Source organism: Homo sapiens, chromosome 21 (assembly GCF_000001405.40).
Source record: "Homo sapiens chromosome 21, GRCh38.p14 Primary Assembly".
Taxonomy (NCBI): Eukaryota; Metazoa; Chordata; class Mammalia; order Primates; family Hominidae; genus Homo; species Homo sapiens.
The window spans coordinates 36,532,503-36,553,719 of record NC_000021.9 but is presented as its reverse complement, the minus strand read 5'-3'; the positions used below and the strand labels follow the sequence as shown (position 1 = coordinate 36,553,719).

Here is a 21,217-nt window from a genome sequence, read left to right as displayed (position 1 = left end):
ACTGTAGCAGGTCCTTCTAGGGGCTAGCAGTGAGACCGCCAATGTCAGAAGTTTAGCTGTCTTCTGCTTGGCTGTGGTAGGGGAGGGCTGGCTGACCACGAAGTGTGGGGCATCCCACCCAACCACCTCCCTTCCTAAGGAGTCTCCAAAGTGGGCCAAGATGGGGTGCGGGGAAAGGAGTGGCAAGAAATGGGCGGGCAGGGCCTTGGATGCTGGTGTTGGCCATTTCTAGCATTGGCTCAGAAGGAGGCATCAAAGGGACAGTCACCGGAAGGCGTATACTGCAAGAGCTTGCCAGCAGAGTCTGGACCAGAGACCACCAGGGGCCTGTTCCTCAGGTGGGCATCACTGCCTTGCTGAGCAGCTGGCCCCCTCCTGTGTTGAAATCTACCCCCTTCCCAAATCCACCTTCCCCTTCCTCTCGCCTTTTGCACCTCCTACTTCAGGAAACCAAGGGTCCACTGAAGGCAGAGGTAAGACTATAGCAGACGCCATCAGTGCCCTTGGTCAGCTCGAGGGGAGTCCTTCCAACAGACGGGGGCCTCGAGGCTGCAGCTACCTTCACGTGTAATGCCTTGGTCCTAGCTCAACAGCCTCATAGAAGAGCTGGTGACGCCCAGCCAATGCTTTAGCTCCCATCTGTTGCGCACTCTCCTGTTGAGGCCCAAGGCCAAGGGATTTGGTGTGCGTCAGCTGGGCCCTAGGTGGCGGGAAACCTGGGTTATCCCACTTAGAGGTGAGGTTGAGGAGGGGCCTCTGCACCCCCAAGTCTCAGGCAGGTTAAAACACATGTCCAAGGGAGTAGTCCAGAAAGTGCCAGAAACAGAAATCCCAAAGCAAGAGACATTCAAGCTCAGAGCAAGAAAAGGGGTGGTGATCAAAGCTTCCTCCCAGCAGCGAGGCCAAGGTTTCAAAGCCGAGACCCGTGCTGTTCTGAGAATGGCCTGACATTCCTATGCATTCATTCTAGAAAATAGAGAGTTTTTTTTTCCAATTCAGGAAGATTTTTTGTTTTGTTTTGTTTTGTTTTGTTTTTGTCTTGTTTTATCATAGGGATTCAAGTTTCATTTACTTCACAGGTCAGTAAAAACCAGTTTGGCCATAAATCAGGTTTATTTTTCTGGCTCAGTTATGAGCCTTAATTCAACCCAACCATGGCCATCTCTAGAGGGTCAAACTGAAAGCATTCTGGGCAAAATTTCCAGCAAATGTCATTAGTGACCCTTTTAGGATAATGAGTCCTGTAACAGATCAACTTAACTTGGCCATAAATATAACATAAACCCCTAAGTGTCCTTAAGTGTGCCCGCTCAACATGGCCATCAGCTCCCTTTCACATGGGGCATCTTATACTGAGCACAGGACTCAGAAAGCCCACTTGTCTGTTAAGATAGGCAGCAAAAGTGCATGCGTCTTTGCAGTTGCCAGAACCATTCTCATTTTATTTCCATTTTTTTAAAGTATCGCTGGATATTTTGCCGCTGAGAAAAGCAACTACTGGTCTCCATATCTTTTTTATTACTTGGGAGAATGTTTCTTCTGAACGTGTTTCAGAGGTACTTTCTAGTTTTCCTGCCTTTGGCTCATGCCAGCAAACTGCTTACAAGAATACCTCATGACTCAGTGCCAATTCTGAGGAACATAATCAGTTGCAAATGTTTCGGGGTGGATGACTGATGAATGTAGTAACTTTATCACTTCTCCCATTTTTTACTGTTAGCAAACTGTAGAAATCTCACATGAAACCACCTCCTTTCCTACTTCCTCCCACCCTCAACAGTCCTTTAAAAAATGATGAAAACAGCAGCCAAGAAGGATGGCTTGTCTGCGGCTGGGAGCAGCAGGGCTGTTGGGTCATGCTGCACTCTCCTCTCGACCGACAGGACAGGAGCAGTTGCAATGAGTTGCTGTCTGCTTCATTGATCTCTGTCAGTGAGTGAGCATTTTGCTTGATGTGATTGTTCTTTTCACGTGAAAATTTGTCCCCCTGCTGTGATCCTACAGCACAGCTAACCTAGAGATGGCACTTGGAGCATCTGGGATCTTCAGGAGGAGCTGTTGCAACAGGGCTGGCTCAGGGTCATCCCTCTACCCACCACCCAAGGCGGCATCTCAGATCCAGATCACAAGACCAGCATGCCCAGCTGTTAGACCCATCTCTTCCCTAAACAAGGGGCTGGCTACACTCCAACAGTTATTTGTGGTACCCCTACCCTGTGCCAGCCACCCTGCCCAAAGCCATGGACAAAATGATGCTCAGACCTCAAGGAGTTTGTGGGCTGAAGAGGGAAGAGAGGCAAGAAAAGGAGGCAGTGGGAGGTAGTGCCAAGTTTGGACTGGGTCTGCCCGCCAGCTTACGGGAGGCAGAGGCTCCAGGAATAAATCCTGTCCGCAGGGAACAGTGCATCTGCTCGGAGATCTCACTGGGGTCCTCCCTCCCAGCGCAGAGGCCAAGGGGAGGGGGCCAAGCCATCGTGGTCTCTCTGGATTTGTTTGCTAAGGACAGTTGTAACAAAGTACAAGAGATTTATTGTCTCACAGGTCTGGGAACAGGAAGTCCGAAATTGCGGGGTAGGAAGGGCTGGTTCCTTCTGGAGGCTCCAAGGGGAGTCTGTTCCGTGCCCCCTCCCCACTCTGGTGGCTGCCGGCTGGCCACACCATTCCTTGGCCTTGGCTCACAGCTGTGTCACTGCAGTCTCTGCCTCCCTCTTCACGTGGCCTTCCCCTGGTGCCTGCTTCTAAGGACAACAGTCATTTTGGAGTAGGGCCCATCTTGCTCCAGGGTGACCTCATCCTCACCATCTGCAACAATCCTATTTCCAAATAAGGCCACATTCTGAGGTTCTGGGTGAGCATGAATTTGGGAAGGACTCTCCTCAACCTGCTACCATCTCTGTAGGGACCGTGGCTGGTGCCCCCAGAGCCTCTTGCCTTGCACTGTGACTGTTGCCGGCATTAGACAGTGAGCAGATAGAGAATTTGTGGGATATGAGCAGAGTTGGATGGAGCAGGGACCTCTTGACAGGTCTCCAAGAACTAGAGAAGGCCAGGAGGAGTTCCCGGACCTAAGATGGGAACTGGGAGGGGACTGGGAGCATGTGATCCAGGCCTGTGGTGGGGACCAGGTTAGAAACCGGGCTGATGCCATGGGCCCAACTTTCCAGACAGCACCTGAGAAACCCTGGCGATGAGCAGGATTTGGCACTGCCCTTTGACTTCTCTTGAAAGGGTGGCTCTTAGCAAACCAACTTACTTTAGGGCCCCTCCAATTCTCCCTCCACATATAGCTACTAAAACTGCCCTGAGCTCTATTTCCACACCAATGAAGGTAAAGAGCTTATTCGACTTTTGGGGTCAGGGGGAGAGGAGCCAAGTTGGTATCATGGTGACAATGGCCAAGCCTCCCAAGACCCGCTGCATGTCTGGGCTATCTCAGGGTAGCCCTGAGAAAGTTCAGTGAATTTAATTTAATGCAGCGAACTTAAAGCAACTTTCTTTTGGAAATGCACTGGGTGTTTTTAAATTTAAACGTAGGTTGTGTCCTCCTAGTACTCTGGGGCATTTAGAAAGACAATATCTTGAAAAGAATCTGAATACAGGGTAGTCACCATTCTAAAAGGCAGCCTTCAACGACTCCAATTCATTCATTCTTTCAACCATGCAATAAATACCAATGTCATGCTATGTGCCAGGCAGTGTTGTAGCTGCTGGGGACAGAGCAGGGGACAGTGCAGGTGCAGTGTCTATCCTCATTCCAGCTGCAATCACAGGAGAAAGATGTTGAGAATCAGTAACATGAATGGGCTTTCAAGCGTCATCCGTGCTCAGGGGAAAAATCAGGCATGACAGGGGTGGGAAAGTGTGCAGGCCACAAGGCCAGGGGACGATTGCGAGTAGGAATGTGGCCAGGGGAGGGTCCCCAGGGAGGTGACACTTGAGTGAAGACCTGAAGGAAGAGAGGAAGTTCACCGATGTCCACCCTTGTCTCACTGTCTTTACCTGGGGCAGGTGAGTTCCTCCAGGGCCGTTGTGTGCTGACAAGTGGCTATGCTGGCCAACCGTGATCTTTCTGACAGCAGCTGCTGCTCTCTGGCTGAGCCTGTGGCTGGTCAACCCCCAGAAGTAATTCTCGCCCCACCGGCCCTTCCTCTGGGAAATGTTTTAGAGGTGATTTGTTCTCCACAGAAAGCAAGCAAAGGAATAATGCCTTCCAGGGCCTCTGTGGGGTGCCCTGAGAAAGCTGCACACCTGCCAGTTGGGAGGGCAGCTCCCCTTACCCGGGGGCCACACGCTCCTTCTCCTCATCAATTTCCTTTTCAACACCAAATACATCTTTCTCATTTTGCAGCATTTTCTTACATGTCTACCACTTTTGGCTTCAGCGAGGACTCTCAGTAGCCGGAGGGGGGCAGGGGTGGGGAGGAGAGAGAGAGAGAGAGAGAGTGTGTGTGTAATGCACACATGAAGGAATATAAAAGTCTTGCTTGAAGCCAACAGCCCTGTCTTTCAATCTCCATTTCTGCTCATGCTGACAGAAATCGTAGCAAGATGGACAAGTTAAAAAAAAAAAAAAACACCAGCTATGAATCGTCTGTGTCATGCCCCATAGCAATGATAAGCTCATTCTGTAGAAGGTTGTTGGGTACCTTAATAATTGGGCCATTGTGCATGGTTTGAGTATTAAGAAAAAATATTCCACAGTCCTTACCCTCAGGGAGCTCACAGCCTAGCTGGCCACCAAACATCTAGAAAGAGCATCATCGTGAACTATGCAGCAACTGGAATGTGCCCAGGGTGTGGTGGGAGCCTGGAGAAGGGGCAGCCACTGGGGTCACTGCAGTCAGGGAAGGCCTTGCTTTGGAGAGAGGAAGACATTTCCCCTTTCTCATGGGTCAGTGTGGAAGGGGCTTCCTCATTCTCCCCAGATCACCCTGGAGGAGCTCTTAGCTCTTCCACCCTTGGCCTCCCCACATCAACTGACCAATCCCAGGGGGTCATCGATGCCTTTGGCACCAAGGAAGTCAGCCTTACTCCATTGGGGACCATGCGGGAGAGGGGAGAAGCAGGAGATACCGTGGGGCAGTCAGGGTAACCATCCACGCAACCCTCTAACCTGCCACAGACTTGGTCTCCACCCTGGAGAAGCCGTGGAAGCTTCCAGGCTGCCCAGACCCCATTCCCCCACATCTTGGAGACCCTTCTGCTCCCCTGAGCTTGGCTGCTCTTCCAGGATTCCCTCGATGAGCTGCGTATTGATGCCTGCCTCTGGGGCGGGGCTGTTTGTGTTCTTCATTAGGTCTCTTGGTCAATGAACATTTAGTGAGTCCCAGTGAATATGGGCCTGATGCAGCTCTGGGACGGGCAAACCAACTGGACTTAGATGCTGCTTCCAGAGCTCATGGCCCAGCCGGGAGATTGGCATTTATCACATGATGGCACAGATGGTGAAGATGCAGCTCTCCAGGAGCTGGGAGGAAAAGGACCCAGGTTTTGGATGGCCTGTCATGAGGGGGGTTGACTTACTAGGGGAGTGGAGGAAGGGGGGCTTCCTGGAGGAGGTAACAAGGAAAAGAGGAGACAGAGGGTGTGCCTGGTGGAAGGAACGGCATCTGCAGGGGCCCTGCAGTGGAGGGGAGTGCAGTGAATCCAAGGGACTGACAAAAAGCCCGGGAGCCAGAGTTGAGAGGCAGAGGACGCGAGGAGAAAGAGGGGGACCAAGGTCAGCCAAAAGCCACTGGGGTTTTAAGAATGGAAGTGACACCGCCAGGTAATGTTTCCAAAGATGTGTTCGCTGGGCCTTTCTTTTCAAAAGAAGCAAGGGGTTTGCCTCACTTCTGTCACCATTTACAGCTCAACGTAGCTGTGTCCTTTGGAGGATCAGCGGGTGAGTGACCATCTTTGGAGGATCAGAGGGTGGTGCAGATGGCCACCAGCTGATGGAGGCAGGAGTGGACCTTATCCTGTGGCCAGCTCCGGCCAGGCTGCAGGCGGCTCCCAGCCCTCCTGTCTGCTGCCCAGAAGCCACGTCACTGCCTGGCCCTGGGAGACCTGCTTCCTGGAGTTGAGGGCTCATTAGTGTCAGAGGCTTGGCACAGGGACCCTCGCATTTAACTTCGCTCTCGAACAATTGATCCATCATGCCGGGAGCAGCGGCCGCCTCTCCACGTGTTTCTGATTCCCTTAATGGCCCGGGCGCTGCTGAGCCACACTAGGTGTCTGACAGGCTCACAGTACTCTGGAAAGCTCTGTCGGAAGGTTCTTTTTGGTCTCTTTACACAACCATTTCAAAAGCTTTCTTTAAAATAAAAACTTTATTTTCAGATCCTTTGAAAACATCCACGTACTCCATGTTATTCAAATGTATTTCAAGTAGGTAAGACCTGCATGCATTATAAAATATAAAAGACACAAATGGGGATAGAGGAAAAAGTAAGTCTTTATCCTGCCCTGCCACCAAGTTCTCCCCAGAGACAACCACCGTCAACTAGTTTCTTACTGATATTCCAGCGTGTATACCATGAATACCCTATAAACCACCAAACCTATGATATTTAGAACATTTGTCAACTTGAAAACACAAGTTGTGCTTTAAAGTCAATTTCCTAGGAATAGTCTAACTTGAAAAATACTCATTTTAATTTAGTGCACAACCTCAGCACCATGGCCATTTGAGGCTGATCGTTCTTTGTTTTGGGGATTGTCCTGTGCGTTGTAGGGCATTGAGCAGCATCGCTGACTCTACCCACTAGATGCCAAGAGCAACACTCCTCCCTGCCCAGTTGTGACAATGAAAAATGTCTCCAGACATTGCCAAATGTCCTCTTAGGGGTGGGGAGGCAACATCACTTTTAAATGTAAGAACTGCTGATTTGTTGTGGTTATTTATAATGTACTCTCTATCTCATTAGAAAAAGAATTTGGGAGACTTACGAAGATTCCAATAATCTTGGTAAGATTAAAAATAAATATTTAAAGGTTGGCTGTAAGTTGAAAATTATTGAAGTTTGGTGATGGATACATAAGAACTCATTATGTTTGCTCTTCTTGCCTATGTTTGAAATTTTTTGTAATAAAAAGGTAAGCGTTTACATTGTGTCTGACATTTTCCATAATAAAAAAGGTAAGTGCTTGAGGAAAGTTCAACAGAGGGGAAAGAAGGTAAAGGCAGTTGCTAGAAAATAAACAAAAATTACCTGTGCTGAGACCGTGCACATTTTTGCTAGGGGTGGATTTGAATCTGAGGTTCCTACAGTCAACCCAAAGAAATGACATGATTAGTTAGAAGTATCACAGTGTCTAGTGATAAAAAATAAGCCCATTGCTCAGAACAAGCACAGCTGTTTCTAGCCATGAACTCTCAAAGATATGTCACAGGGCAATCACCCTGACCACAGAGACGCTTTGACACTGACAGCTTTCCAGCGTGTTCCTGGAAATGCTGAATCAGGCTCTGGGATGAGGCCTGAGAATTTGTTTTCTTAACCAAATATTCTTTAGAAGTAGGTCAATAAGATAAGACTAACATGCAATTTAGTGAAAGTGATTCTGCAAAAAGTGAAAATAATGCATGCCCATATGCAGGTCTCTGAAGATCTGGATTAATCCAAGAATAAACTTCAAAGTAGCCAGAGGTTGAACAACCTCAGAAATATTATTTCTCTCCAAACTTTTAATAAGTCCCAGGTTACAGTCTCTGTTTCCTGAAAGGCAGCTGTTGGGCGGGAGGACCCATTGAGGCCACCACACTGGTTCTCGCTCTTGCTGGAGGGAGGGCTGAAGGGCTCTTGCAGGACCTTGGTGAAGTCCTGGGTCCAAGAAGAGGTTTCGTTGCCTCCTCCCGCCTGGGCAGACATCTCCTGGGGATGCTCCAGGAGAAGCAAACTTGGCCTTGAAGACTCTGAAATTCTGGGCCAGGATCATTTTAATTGGGAGGGGAAGAAAAGCTACACTGCTCATTGTAATTACAAAAACATCACAATAAAGTACACACAGAGCTGCCAGCTTTAATAAATGCAATTTCTCATTGAGATATAAATGGTCAAATACAGAGTGGGGGCAGATACTAACATATTTCAAAAAATAATAATTCAGCCTTTTTTATAAATATTTCAAGGAAAAAAAATGAGGCTTGAATGATCCAAATGTTTGCAGACTTAGGCAACTTAAGAGAAATATAGGCACAAAGAGCCCCTCTAGTAAGGGAAATTATGGTCCTTTGCATCCCATGACTTATTGAAGGTGACACATTTGATGGTTGTCTTTGATCTTCTGGAGGGCTAAGGGACTCCCTTGCCTCCAGAAATACTGCATTCACTCCCGATGCCTAGGCACTGATACCTAATTTCTGTGAAGGATTATGTGTAGCAAGCAGCCTGTGAAAGACTTGGGAACTCAGAGAACTTTTGAAGGCTCCTCACCCAACCCAAGAATGGAGTCCCTTGCTACCTCATTTCTACCCACTCCACCTTAAAACGCTTTAAGAATATTGCATTTGAATTTGTGTTTCTTAAAAATCAATTCTTAACCCTCCAAAATCTGAGTAATGCCCGTTGCTCTGGTTTAAGTGGAGAATGCAAAAAAGAGAGAGTCACAGAAAGGCAAGAGAGCCCTGCCTCCCTCTCTCCATGGGCTTCAGAAATGCCTCAAATCCCTATGGCCACCTGCATTGGTAGGAGGCTGAACAGCGGTTTATTTTTCAGTTACCAACAGAGATGCAACCTCTTTTCACTTAGTATCCACAAATGCTAGGGCACTGGCCTGATACTTACAATCCCTCCTGCAAGCAAACTTCAATTGGCACCCGCTGCAGTAGCCAGGATTAATAACAGAGAGCATTGTGGTTTTGTTATTAAGTTACTTTCAGCAATTAGTAAATTTGTCGTCCTAATTGTTTTCACATGGTTGCTCTGTGCACATGTCTTACTTCGCGGATGTCCTTGCAGTCTTGCCCCTGTCATCATATTTCAGCGTGATCGCTGCCCATCTCTCCAAGCTGTCCAATCCCATCAAAAGCTGATTTGCAGTCGGGTCAGCAGGAAGGAGGTGTAAAGAGTTCATTTCAAAGTCCACGGCATATTTGGATAAAATACAGAGAAATTTTGCTTAGCTCCCTGGGCGTCTGAGAGTGAGTGTGCTCTGGAGGAGGGGATGCCTGTGGTTAGTGCACAGGAAAATTCAAATTCTCCCCAGCCTCAAATTTGCCTCTCCTTCCTAAATCCCAACTCCATCCCCTCCTATGCAAACAGTCAATAGCTGCAGGCAGGGATGACTGTCTGAGGCCTGGGAGAACTTTGTTCTAGTCTTGGAGGATGAGCAAATGTAAGACACCCACAATCCAGCAGGCCTACCCTGTGATGGGGTCTGGATGTCAGACAGCCTCGGCTGCTCCCTCCTTCTGTACTGAGAGGCTTGGTTCCCTGGCACTCCTCAGCCAAGAAAAGGCCATTGTCCTTCCCACCACCTTTTTCAGGGAGAGGGATGGATGGCAGCAGAGGGGGCCCAGGGCAAGGACCTGCCCAAGGTGTAGTGTGATCCTGCCAAGCTGGCAGGCAGCACCATGGTAATGGAAACCTGGGTTGGAGGGAGCCAAGGGCTGGTGTGGCTTCTGGGTTCCTGGGTGTCACCCATTGGGTCCCCAAATTGAAACCCGGCTGCTAGCAATTCAGCCAGTGCAGGTGCGGCTCAGCACAGACGGTTGAATCCATGACACAGGCTTCCCTGGCTGCAGCCTTGGGGATCCTGAGCTGACTCAGTTTCTTTGCTAAGTAAACAGTCCCTATCATCATGCACGCTCTCTCCCACTTTAGGAATCAACTAGAACTGTAGGCAAGAACAGGAGAAATGCCACAGTATGGGGGTGGCTGTTTACGTGTCAGAAGCTCCTTATGCATATTTGCTTGCTTTTGGCCGTGTCCCACATTTGGAAACGAGGGGAAATGAATATATGTAAATTACAGTGCAGTATTTCAGAGTGGGGTCCTAGAACTAGATGCCTGGGTTCAAGTCGCAGCTCCGCCATTCTTCAGCTACTGGCCTCAGGACCCATTGCCTCAATTGTACTCTTTTGTAAAATGGGCACAATTAGAGATCCATGTCATTAGGTAGTTACAACGATTATGTAAAGCCAAAGTGCTAAAGCACTTATTATAGTGCCCAGAACATGAGAAGTGTTTGGTAAGTATTACTATCAAATGATAACATACTTATTAAGTTATAGGCAGAATCTAAGCACAGCAGGACAGAAAGGCCCTCCTGAACATCCTGAGAAACTTCCCTATCACTCTCTTTTGTTTGCCTCTCCCTGGTCGTTGCTCTTATCTTCATACGGGAACTATGTTATTTCTTTGAATCTTTTTCTAATTGTCTGTCTCCCCCAACTCAAAGAGCAGGGACATTTTTTGTTCACTGCTATAGACCCTACTGTCCCCCTTCACAGTGCTGGCACATAGTAGGTGTTCAATAAATATCTGTTGGAGGAAAAATGAATGAAAAAAGGAGAGAACGGAGAAGTTGGGTGCTCTCTGAGCCCTCACTTTGGAAACTGGGGGTCCCTCTACCCCAGAGGGCAGCCCCTGCCCCAGCAGTTGAGTCCCTCCGCGCACCTACTTGCGGTGTAGGGTGGGAGGCGGGTTGTTGAAATCTGCTGGGATTTTCACCCACCTCCGGCCAGGTGGAAGGGAGACCCTTGTGCTCCCCCCTGCCCCCGCCAGGTTGTGCTATTTAATCCTGTTTTATGCGCAGGCATTTAAACCTGAAACTGAGTATGCAAATGTGTTCCCAGCAAGGCTGCAAGGCATTTTGCACGTGCTGGTACTGGCGTCATTTCTGAAAAGAGCAGTAGTCCTTGGGGCAGAGGCAGGGACAGGGGCAGGGGCAGGTGCGGGCTGCGGGAGGGACTCGGAGCCCACAGAGGTAATTCCACTCTGCGCCTCAATTATTCATCGCGCTGGGGCTGTCTCTGCGTGGTCACCTGCGCGCTGCAGAGTCCCCCAGCGCTCCGGGGACTGCTCGGGGGCTGCTGGGGGGCCTCTGGGAGGCCTGTCGCTCGAGGGGAGGCCGGATCAAGGAGAGTCACGCGGCTCCCTGGGGAGAACGGGCGCCGGGCCCTCACAGACCCCAGAGCGGCCATGAGCTGGTGTGCAGCCGCCCAGGAGGGGTGAGTTTCCAGCCCCGGGGGGTTTCTTTCACTGCCAGCCTCGGGACTTTTAGCATGGAATCTGGCTCAGGCTGTAGCCTACAGACTGGTGCCATAGGGGCTCCCCGGCCGTCAGTCACAGGGGATCAGCTGATCAGAAAAAAAGGAGTTTGCATCTTCCTTTATCTTAAGTGTGACCTAAACAAGGTCTGCAACGTCTGCTATATGAGCCTTGCTCTCCCAAGGTGAGGGAAGTCAGAATTTTCCGGGCAGCGTGAGAAGGGGTGCGAAGTTTATTTAAATGTTTTAGAAAGTCTATTGCCGGCCAGGAGCGGTGGCTCACGCCTGTAATCCCAGCACTTTAGGAGGTCGAGGCGGGCGGATCATGAGGTCAGTAGTTCAAGACCAGCCTGACCAAGATGGTGAAACCCCGTCTCTACTAAAAATACAAAAATTAGCCGGACATGGTGGTGGTGCGTGAGTGCCTGTAATCACAGCTACTTGGGAGGCTGAGGCAGGAGAATCCCTTGAACCTGGGAAGCAAAGGATGCAGTGAGCGGAGATCACACCACTGCACTCCAGCCTGGGCGACAGAGGGAGACTCTGGCTGCAAAAGTAAAAGAAAGTCTACAGCCAACTCCAGTGGTTCACACACACCCACACATACATGCACACACATGATTGGGGGGGGGTAACAAAAGAAATTTACATTCTAAGACAAAAGAAACTGTAATTAAGTCAGTGGGTAGCAAGGTACTCGTCACAAAGACACTATTAAAACCTAAGACAGTAAGACACAAGCCAAAGTATTCCCTTGCTACAGACCTGTGCCCCTGGCCAGTGCCCTTGATAGTCCATTCTACCGGGCATTTGGGACACCAGTTTTTTAGGTTTTATACAGAAATCTTTTGTATTTTGTGTAAAATTGTTATTGACAATATAACAATTCCACTATATTGATCATTGGCCCTTACAGAAGGTAGGTAGTAAGAAAAATGCTTTCGAAGTTGAAAATAAGGGCGAAATTTTATTTCTCTGAGTAAGCCAGCATGCTTCTTTTTATTAGACAATCGGCTTTATAAAACTCAACTTTCCCTTTTTGCTTTGGTTCCTGGGGAACTCAGAGTTAAGGTTTTTTGCTTGTAGTTGCAGCAGTCTCTTTTAGGATTAGGACTTAGATATGATTCTTTTCATCCTTTTGTTACTTGGCTCTTGTTCTTTCACCTATGCACCTTTTCAGTAGTTTTCTTGTACCTGTGAGTTTTATTAGAAGTCATTTCAAATCATCTTTAAAAATATGTCAAGGTAAATGCACAGAGCTTAATACATGATAAGCCCTCAACAAGTACCCGATTGATAAACTGACTGACGGAAAGGTAGGAGGTATCCTGCAGAAGATGAAGAACTCTTACTGTTGACTTCCATGTTCTCCCCACCAGCCCGTCCACATCAAGTCCTCTCTCTGGAATTGGCACCACCACTGGCTTAAACCAGAAACCTGGAAGTTATCCTTGGTTTCTCCTCTTTTCTCAACTCTAACATCCAACCCATTAGCAAAGCCTGTCAATTCTACCTGCAAAGTGTATGTGGAATCAGTCCACTCCTCTCCCCCTCCACAGCCACTGTCCTTGTTTAAGGAACTGATATCTCACTTGGACTGTGAAAATACCTTCTACTCTTGCCCACCTCCAATCAGCTTGCTACAGAGTCACCATAGTGGCCTTTTAAAACCCAAGTCACCTCATGTCCATCCACTGCTTACAACAATTCTGTGGCCTCCTCTTCCCTTAGAATAAACATCTAACTATTTATCACCACCTGTAAGGTCTGGCTGATGTTGGCCTCTCTGCCCTCTCCTCACACCCTGAATTCACCACTCTTAGGTACCTCACAAGATGTCTCCACCTGGAGCCCTGCCCCCCAGTCCCTCCCTCCCCTCTCTCAGCACTTGACCTACAGCCACTTTCTCAAAGAGACACTCCTCAAACCCCCCTGGTCCTGGCAGGAACGAGTGGGATTTCAGAGGGCCATGCTGCCCAGCGTTCAATATCAGTAGGAGAGGTTAAGGCCACCATTCAACTGCACCCCATTGATTTCTTTTCTGGAACAAATCAGCTGGTAATTAGATATGTTCCTATGTGATGTACAGTTGGCTCTCCATACCCGCAGGTTCCACATTCATGAATCAAAAATATTTGGAAAAATTAATAACACAACAATAAAAAACAATACAAATAAAAACACAGTATAACAACTATTTACATAGCTTTACATTGTGTTGGGTATTATACGTCATCTAGGGATGATTTGCAGTGTATGAGAGGACGTACATTGGCCACATGCAAACACTACGCCATTTAATATCAGGGACTTGAACAGCCAAGGATTTTGGAATCCTCAGGGGTCCTGGAGCCAATCCCCTGTGAATACTGAGGGATGACTGTATAAACACACACACACCACACACCACACACACTCACTTCACACACGGACCACACCACACAACACACACTCACTCCACACACATACATACCACATACCACACACACACCACACCATACACATACCACACACATACATCACATACTACACACATATACCACATACTACACACATACATACTCCACATGCTACACATACACTCACTCCACACACACACTCCACAGACACACTCCAATCATACACTCCCTCTGCACAGACGCTCATCTGCAGACATACTGCACACACACACTCACTCTGCACACACACTCACTCTGCAGACATACTCCGCACACACTCATCTGCAGACATACTGCACACACACACTCACTCCACATACACACTCTGCAGACATACTCACTCCGCACACATACTCACTCCACACACACTAACACCGTACACTCACTCTGCACACACACTCACTCCACACATATTCACTACACACATACTCACTACACACACACTCCGCACACACTCACTCCACACACACTCCACATACATTCACTCCACACACACACTCACTCCACACAAACTGCACACACTCACTCCACACACACTCCACACACACTCCACATACACTCACTCTGCATACACTCACTCCACACACTCTGCACACACACACATTCCCCACACATTCACTCCACACACACTCACTCTGCACACACACTCATTCCACACACACACTCCACAGTCACTCCACACACACTCCACACACACTCACTCCACACACACTCACTCCGCACATACACTCACTCCACACACACTCACTCCACACACACTCCACACGCACTCACTCTGCACACACACCACACACGTATTTTTTGCTTATTTCATTGCCATGTCTCCCAGTAGACCTTAAACACCTTGAGTGTGGGGATCTTATCTGATTTGTTCACAAACTTATATTCCCGTCTGACACAGAGCCTGGCACAGAGAAGTTTCTCCATAAACATTTTTAAAATGAATGAATATGTGACTGAAAGCTCATTCTCGGCATCTCTTAAATTGGCGGGGGTTACAACAGAGACTTCCCAGCCATCATTCTGGAGTGGGGTCAGCGGATGCTGTCCAGCTCTGAATCCACATTTAGGGCCCTGCCCAGAGGAAGCTGCGCTGGCCGGGCCTAGTTGAGAAGCAAGCTCTGTGTGTGGGTGTGCCGGGCAGGGGCGCGACTGGGACTCCTGCAGCCTTGACCTGGTGCTGGGGGTCAGGTGACTCGTACAGGTCTCCCTATGCCGTTATGTCTGCCCATTCCTGAGTTGGGGTGATCTCTGAAGAGTTAGGAAGACTTGGTACTGGCCAGATGTCATACCTGCAGCAATCGGCCACTCCAACTGTGGAAAAAAAATGGTTTTCAATGGAGGTGACTTGAGGGAGCACTGCAGCATCCTGATTCTCATACATGGGCTTCTCTTACCGACTGCTGCTGGACGCTGGGCAGAGACTCCTTCTGAAATGCTGTCTCTTCTTTTTTTTCTCTCTCTTTTTTTCCTTTGAGACGATGTCTCGCTCTGTCACCTAGCTGGAGTGCAGTGGTGCGATCTCGGCTCACTGCAACCTCCATCTTCCGGGTTCAAGCGATTCTCTTGCCTCAGCCTCCCTTGTAGCTGGGATTAAAGGTGTGTGCCACCACACCCAGCTAATTTTTGTATTTTTAGTAGAGACGGGGTTTCACTATGTTGGCCAGGATGGTCTCGATCTCTTGACCTTGTGATCCGCTGTCTCTTCTTGCCACGCAGTTCTGCAACCCGTCCTACACAGAGTGACAGCAGCAAAACTGTGGTGGTGGTGGTGATTGTTTTCCTTTTTCTTGCTAAGTTTTATGACTGAAACCCATTAACATTGATCTCAACCATTTGAGTTGTTTGGGGGTACACTAGGGGTTCCAGAAAATGAGTTACCATCAGATTTCATCTATTTCTGGTTGATCTATAAGTGTTGGACTTTCATAGACCTCCATCCAACTGACTGAAAATTTTCAAACAGGCAGCAAAGATAGAAGCATAGTACAATGAACACCTGTAGACTGTCTCCCTGGCTCTAACCATTGTTTATATTTTGTCATATACAGTTTTCTCTCTCTCTCTCTGTACACACACACACACACACACACACACATTTTGTTTTGATTTTTTCTTAACCATTTGAAAGTAAATTGTAGGCTGAGTGTGGTGGCTCATGCCAGTAATCCCAGCACCTTGGGAGGCTGAAGCAGGCAGATCACTAGGTCAGGAGTTCGAGACCAGCTTGACCAACATGGTGAAACCCCGTCTTTACTAAAAATACAAAAATTAGTCAGGCGTGGAGGCACGCACCTGTAACGCCAGCTACTTGGGAGGCTGAGGCAGGGGAATTGCTTGAACCCAGGAAGTGGAGGTGGCAGTGAGCCAAGATCACACCATTGCACTCCAGCCTGGGTGACAGAGCGAGACTCCGTCTCAAAAAAAAAAAGAAAAGAAAAGAAAAACAAAGAAAAAAGAAGGTAAATTGTAAATTGTAAATGATCATGATACTTGACTATAAATATTTCATTAGATGTCTACCAAGGACATTCTCCTATGTATCTGCGACACCATTATCATACCTCATAACATTAATTTTTAAAAAAATTAACTCTAGCGTCATCTACTATCCAGTTCATATTCACGTTTTCCCAATTGCATCCAAAACATCTTTTATAGCTTTTTTAAAAAAATAAAAAATAAAGCAGGATCTAATCAAAGATCAGTATGTTCATTGTTACGTCTTTTTATCAACTTCAATCTAGAACAGTCTCCCAGACTTTTTGTTATGACTGACTTTCTGAAGGGCCTAGCTGAGTTGTCTTATAGACAACCCCACAGCCTGGATTTTTTTTTCTCTCTCTCTCTCTGCAGATTTGTTTTTGTGTGTTTTTTGTTTTTTGTTTGTTTGTTTGAGATGGAGTTTTGCTCTTGTTGCCTAGGCTGGAGTGCAATGGCGCCATCTCCGGCTCACTGCAACCTCCACCTCCCGGGTTCAAGCGATCCTCCTGCCTTAGCCTCACGAGTAGCTGAAATTACAGGCATGCGCCACCACACCCAGCTAATTTTGTATTTTTAGTAGAGACGAGGTCTCTCCATGTTGGTCAGGGTGGTCTTGAACTCCCAGCCTCAGGTGATCCACCTGCCTCGGCCTCCCAAAGTGCTGGGATTACAGGTGTGAGCCACCAAGCCTGGCCCAGGTTTTTTTAGTTGAGCAATGTTACTACCTTGTTGAAGGTAAGAAAGTGTGTCTCTGCCAATAGGCAATTTCCTCAAGATATGTTGCCATGCAGGTTTATTGACATCTTATCTACTCCTAAAAAGAATTTGAGGCAGTTTATAATAAAAGAGAAAGTCTGTTGAAAAAAAGAGAAAATATTTTCTTAACATGTAGAAGGATGGTGGGTGGGAGGAAGGAGGGGAATAGAGGTGCTATAAACACATTAGTGTCGTTCGTATAACTAAACGCAAAATTTCACTCTCAGCTTTCTACTGTCAATGAAAAAATAGTTTAAAGATCACCTTTAGGAAACATGATCTTTACTTGCACTAGGATTATGAAAATAATTTGTCCCATGGAGCTTTAGACAAATGATACCAACAAAATAATCAGCCACCTCTTTCACAGCTCACAGGTAATGTCGGAACATTTTCATTGAGCTGCTTCTTTAATACACAAGGTCAAAGCCAAGAATGCAACATTGACACAGAATGGAGTAAAGTCATTTTTAAAATGAGTTCAGTCGAGGTAACTTGATTTCTGCATCTAACACGAGGGAGAACTGAGGATGGGTGGGCTGCCTGGCTCCCACTCTTGTCCTCAGTCCCCTACTGTCTCCCTCGGCCTTCCCTGGGCAGGTCCTCAGGTACAGGCAGATGTCAGCTGGACCCCAGATGAGGAAACAGAGCAGGTGCAAGGCTGGACCTCAAGGATGAAGCTAAGCCTGAGTCAGGGGCTGTCCCAGACAGACAGCTCCTCATCCAACAACCTCCCCACAGAGCTGGGCTGCAGCTGAACTTGCATTTTATGATAATTGCTTTTTCAGTCTGCTTAAGTGCTGAACAGCACAGCAGGGCTGCGTTCTCCTCCCCTGGAGAACGTTTACAGATGGTGTTGCAGTGAGGATGGATTCCTGTACTTTCCGAGGGTGGGGGAGCACCGTGTTGTCCTTTCATGCCACTTTGCCTCCTGTCAGTCCCATGGGGTGGGTTTGCTCTAAGGTGTACCTGTGGCTAACCCGAAGGGTTTCATATGGCCATTTGAACTGCAGAAAGTGCTGCCAAAACATACAAAATTCATGTGCTTTGAGATAATAATTTTTCAGTTGCTTATACATGACGTTACAGAAATTGTTGGCCACAGAGAAAAAATTCCCCATGATCTCACCACTCCTGAAACCAACTAAGTCACCTGCTCAGAGCCACTCTCTGTGGACTCCCTTCTGCATTAAAGGAAATGCACCTGTTCATCTCCTTTCTAGAATAAAACATGACTATACATGTCATTTAGATGTGTATGTGTATGCATACCTATATATTTGTATTCTTTTGTGGTCTTTAAATGTATTTTTATAGTTATAATTCACATACCATTTTGTACAGTACTTTTTCTCACTTAATTTTATAGCTCATGCTTTTTTCCATTACCATGTGGTCTTTATAAATCATTTTTATTTGTATTTTATTTTTTACTTTTATTTATTTATGTATTTATTTTTGAGAGAGTCTCACTCTGTCACCTAGGCTGGAGTGCAGTGGTGCAATTTCAGCCCACCACAACCTCCACCTCCCAGGTTCAAGTGATTCTCGTGCCTCAGCCTCCCAAGTAGATGGGACTATAGGCACCTGCCACCACCCCCAGCTAATTTTTGTATTTTTAGTAGAGACAGCGTTTCGCCATGTTGTCCAGACTGGTCTCAAACTCCTGACCTCAGGTGATCCGCCCCCTCAGCCTCCCAAAGGGCTGGGATTACAGGCATGAGCCACCACACCCAGCCCACAAAGCATTTTTAAAAATGGATAAATGATTTTCTATTGAATCAATGCACTGTAATTTAACTCATCCCATTTTCAGGCAAAGTCTGTTGTTTCCACCTCTCCTTTTCATCCATTATCATTCACACTTCCCTAGCCATAATTACACAATAAGATCAATGGCTTGCCACAACCCTTCCTGGCTTGTGATGGTTAGATTACGCTGGCCTCAGGGAGGGAGATGGTTGCATTTCCTCTTGGTATGGCTGGGAAAGATGCAACCCACTCAATATTTAAATATAAGGGGCGGGGACACAGCCTCTTTACACAGCCTGAGACTGACACCTTGCCCAGGGGAATGAGCAAGAGCAGGATTGAACCCAGAGCTGGGTGGCATCGTGAAAATGGGACACTCAGGGTATCAGTGACAAATAATTTAGAGGCTGCTTGCCCCTGGAGTAGAATGTCTGGCACATAAGGCCAGGTGTGCGCCTCGCTGAGGAGTCTGTGCGTCATCTTGATGGGATGGTGCCATGGTGATTGTCAGCCAGCCTCTCCTTATTGCCCGCTCACCCCACACACAAGGCATGTTGATATGGAAGAGAGACTTGAAGGATTGCCAGGCATCGGCCACACAGAAGATGTGACGGGGAGTTGTCCTAAACCCATATGTTTTTATCATCCTGTACTTGTCAAAGAGCTTTGAAGTTCACGACCTTGCTCTGGTTCCCACGGGGGGATCGTCCTGGGCTTCCATCATCCCTTTTTCCTGTCAACCGTGTGTTGCATGCAGATGCCACCCCCATGCCTTGCCGGAGACTCCCCTAAAAAGCTGGGATTATGTCTTTGAAATTATTAATTTTCATGAATAGCATGAAAAAATTTTTTTGTAATCCCAGCTACTCGGGAGGCTGAGGCAGGAGAATCGCTTGAACCCGGGAGGCGGAGTTTGCAGTGAGCTGAGATCGCGCCATTGCCCTCCAGCCTGGGCAACAAGAGTGAAACTCTGTCTCAAAAAGAAAAAAAAAAATTTAAAGCCACTTCACTCCAGTGAACTAAGCTATTGCAATTTTTCTGTGTTCAGTTCTAGTCCTCAGCTGCACAGGCACGTCAGATCTTACCAATTTATTTAAGTTTTATTTTAAGTTCAGGGGTACATGTGCAGGTCGGTTATATAGGTAAACTTGTGCCGTGGAGGTTTATTGTATAGATTATTTCATCACCCAGGTATTAAGCCTAGTACACATTAGTTATTTTTCCTGATCCTCTCCCTCCTCCCACCCTTCACCCCCAGGTAGGCCCCAGTGTGTGTGGTTCCCCTCTATGTGTCCATGTGTTCTCATCATTTAGCTCCCACTTATAAGTGAGAACATGCAGTTTCTGGTTTTCTGTTCCTGCATTAGTTTGCTAAAGATAATGGCCTCCAGCTCCACCCACGTTCCTACAAAGGACATGATCTGGCTCTTTTTTATGGCTGCATAGTGTTCCAGGAGGTCTTACCAATTTATTACCATGGTGACGTTGCCACCCTGCATTCTGTTTGCTCATTTTCTCTAATGTGGTCTCATCATCAATATTTTCCCACGTGGTACAATGTCTACGTAATCACCATTTTAACAGCTCTGTGCCCATCCAGAGAATGGGCGCGCCCCACTTTAAACTCTCGATGCTGGACACAGAAACTGAGTTCACAATTGTAAGCCGGAAGCATCTTCAGGCACATGGAGTATTTGGCCTACAGAGGACATTAACAGATGGAGTTTAGTGGTTAACAGTTGGTCACACCCAATGTCACCAACCTGGCACCTAAGGGTGCACTGTGGGGAGCACCCTCCTGGCCATGTGTCCAGAGCATCCCCTGCCCGTGCAGACCATCCAGCCACTCTCTGCCTGGCTGGACCCTGGCATTCCCAGGTCCTCTTCCCACACTTGCGGAGGGAAGGCACAGCCAGATGTGCAGCCCCACCCGAGCTAAGCCCTGCTCCATTACCGACCGGCCCCACCGAATGTGTTTTCTGTGTAGTTCGTGGCTACGCTCTGGAATTTCAGACCACGCTGAATTTACTTGTTTTATGGCTAGGAATTTCAGGAGGAGCACCACAGATGTTAAACGCAGGAGTCTCTTGGTGCTAGTAAAATAAACCTTACTCAAACAGGGGTGTCGTGACTCAAAGGGTTAGATAGCCCATGATACAGGATGTCGGTCACCAATGCAGATGTTGTAAGTTGAGTCATTTGACAGCATGGTAACTTTATATGGCCAGAGAGCCAGCTGTGACTATTTAAAGGGATGGGGGGTCAGGGGGAATGCATTTTTATTTCTAGACAAATATATTTCTGATCGTAACTTAAATACTTTCTTTTAGTCAAAATACTGATTTTTCTTTCTCCCCGCATTCTCGAAAGAGAAGCCCTTCCTATCCTTTTGGCGTTCAACCCCACCAAACTGGCTTCACATTAGAGACCCTGCAAGGCTTAAATTAGAACCTCACTTTTGAAACCTGTTGGAAGGACTTTTTTTTTAATTTTATTATTATTATACTTTAAGTTTTAGGGTACATGTGCACAACATGCAGGTTTGTTACGTATCTATACATGTGCCATGTTGGTGTGCTGCACCCGTTAACTC

At 47.4% G+C, this 21,217-nt stretch overlaps 1 protein-coding gene across 2 annotated transcripts in view, besides 2 other annotated features; it reads left to right on the top strand.

Moving 5' to 3' along the window:
- CLDN14 (claudin 14) overlaps nt 1-21,217 on the top strand; it is a 115,949-nt gene that overhangs the window by 22,850 nt on the left and 71,882 nt on the right. Inside the window, exon 1 of one of the 2 annotated variants that reach the window (NM_001146078.3) lies at nt 10,936-11,155. The exons of the other annotated variant lie outside the window; for it this stretch is intronic. The gene's annotated coding sequence lies outside the window, so the exon portion shown is untranslated. Of the gene's footprint in view, nt 1-10,935; nt 11,156-21,217 lie in introns of those variants that run through there. 2 annotated transcript variants of the gene reach the window in all.
- Nucleotides 17,416-17,525: an enhancer, noted in NCBI's record as "active region_18439". NCBI's record gives its function as "activates an Ori minimal core promoter by ATAC-STARR-seq in GM12878 lymphoblastoid cells {active_cell/tissue: GM12878}" and the evidence as "EXISTENCE:reporter gene assay evidence [ECO:0000049][PMID:35858748]".
- Nucleotides 17,706-18,075: an enhancer, noted in NCBI's record as "active region_18438". NCBI's record gives its function as "activates an Ori minimal core promoter by ATAC-STARR-seq in GM12878 lymphoblastoid cells {active_cell/tissue: GM12878}" and the evidence as "EXISTENCE:reporter gene assay evidence [ECO:0000049][PMID:35858748]".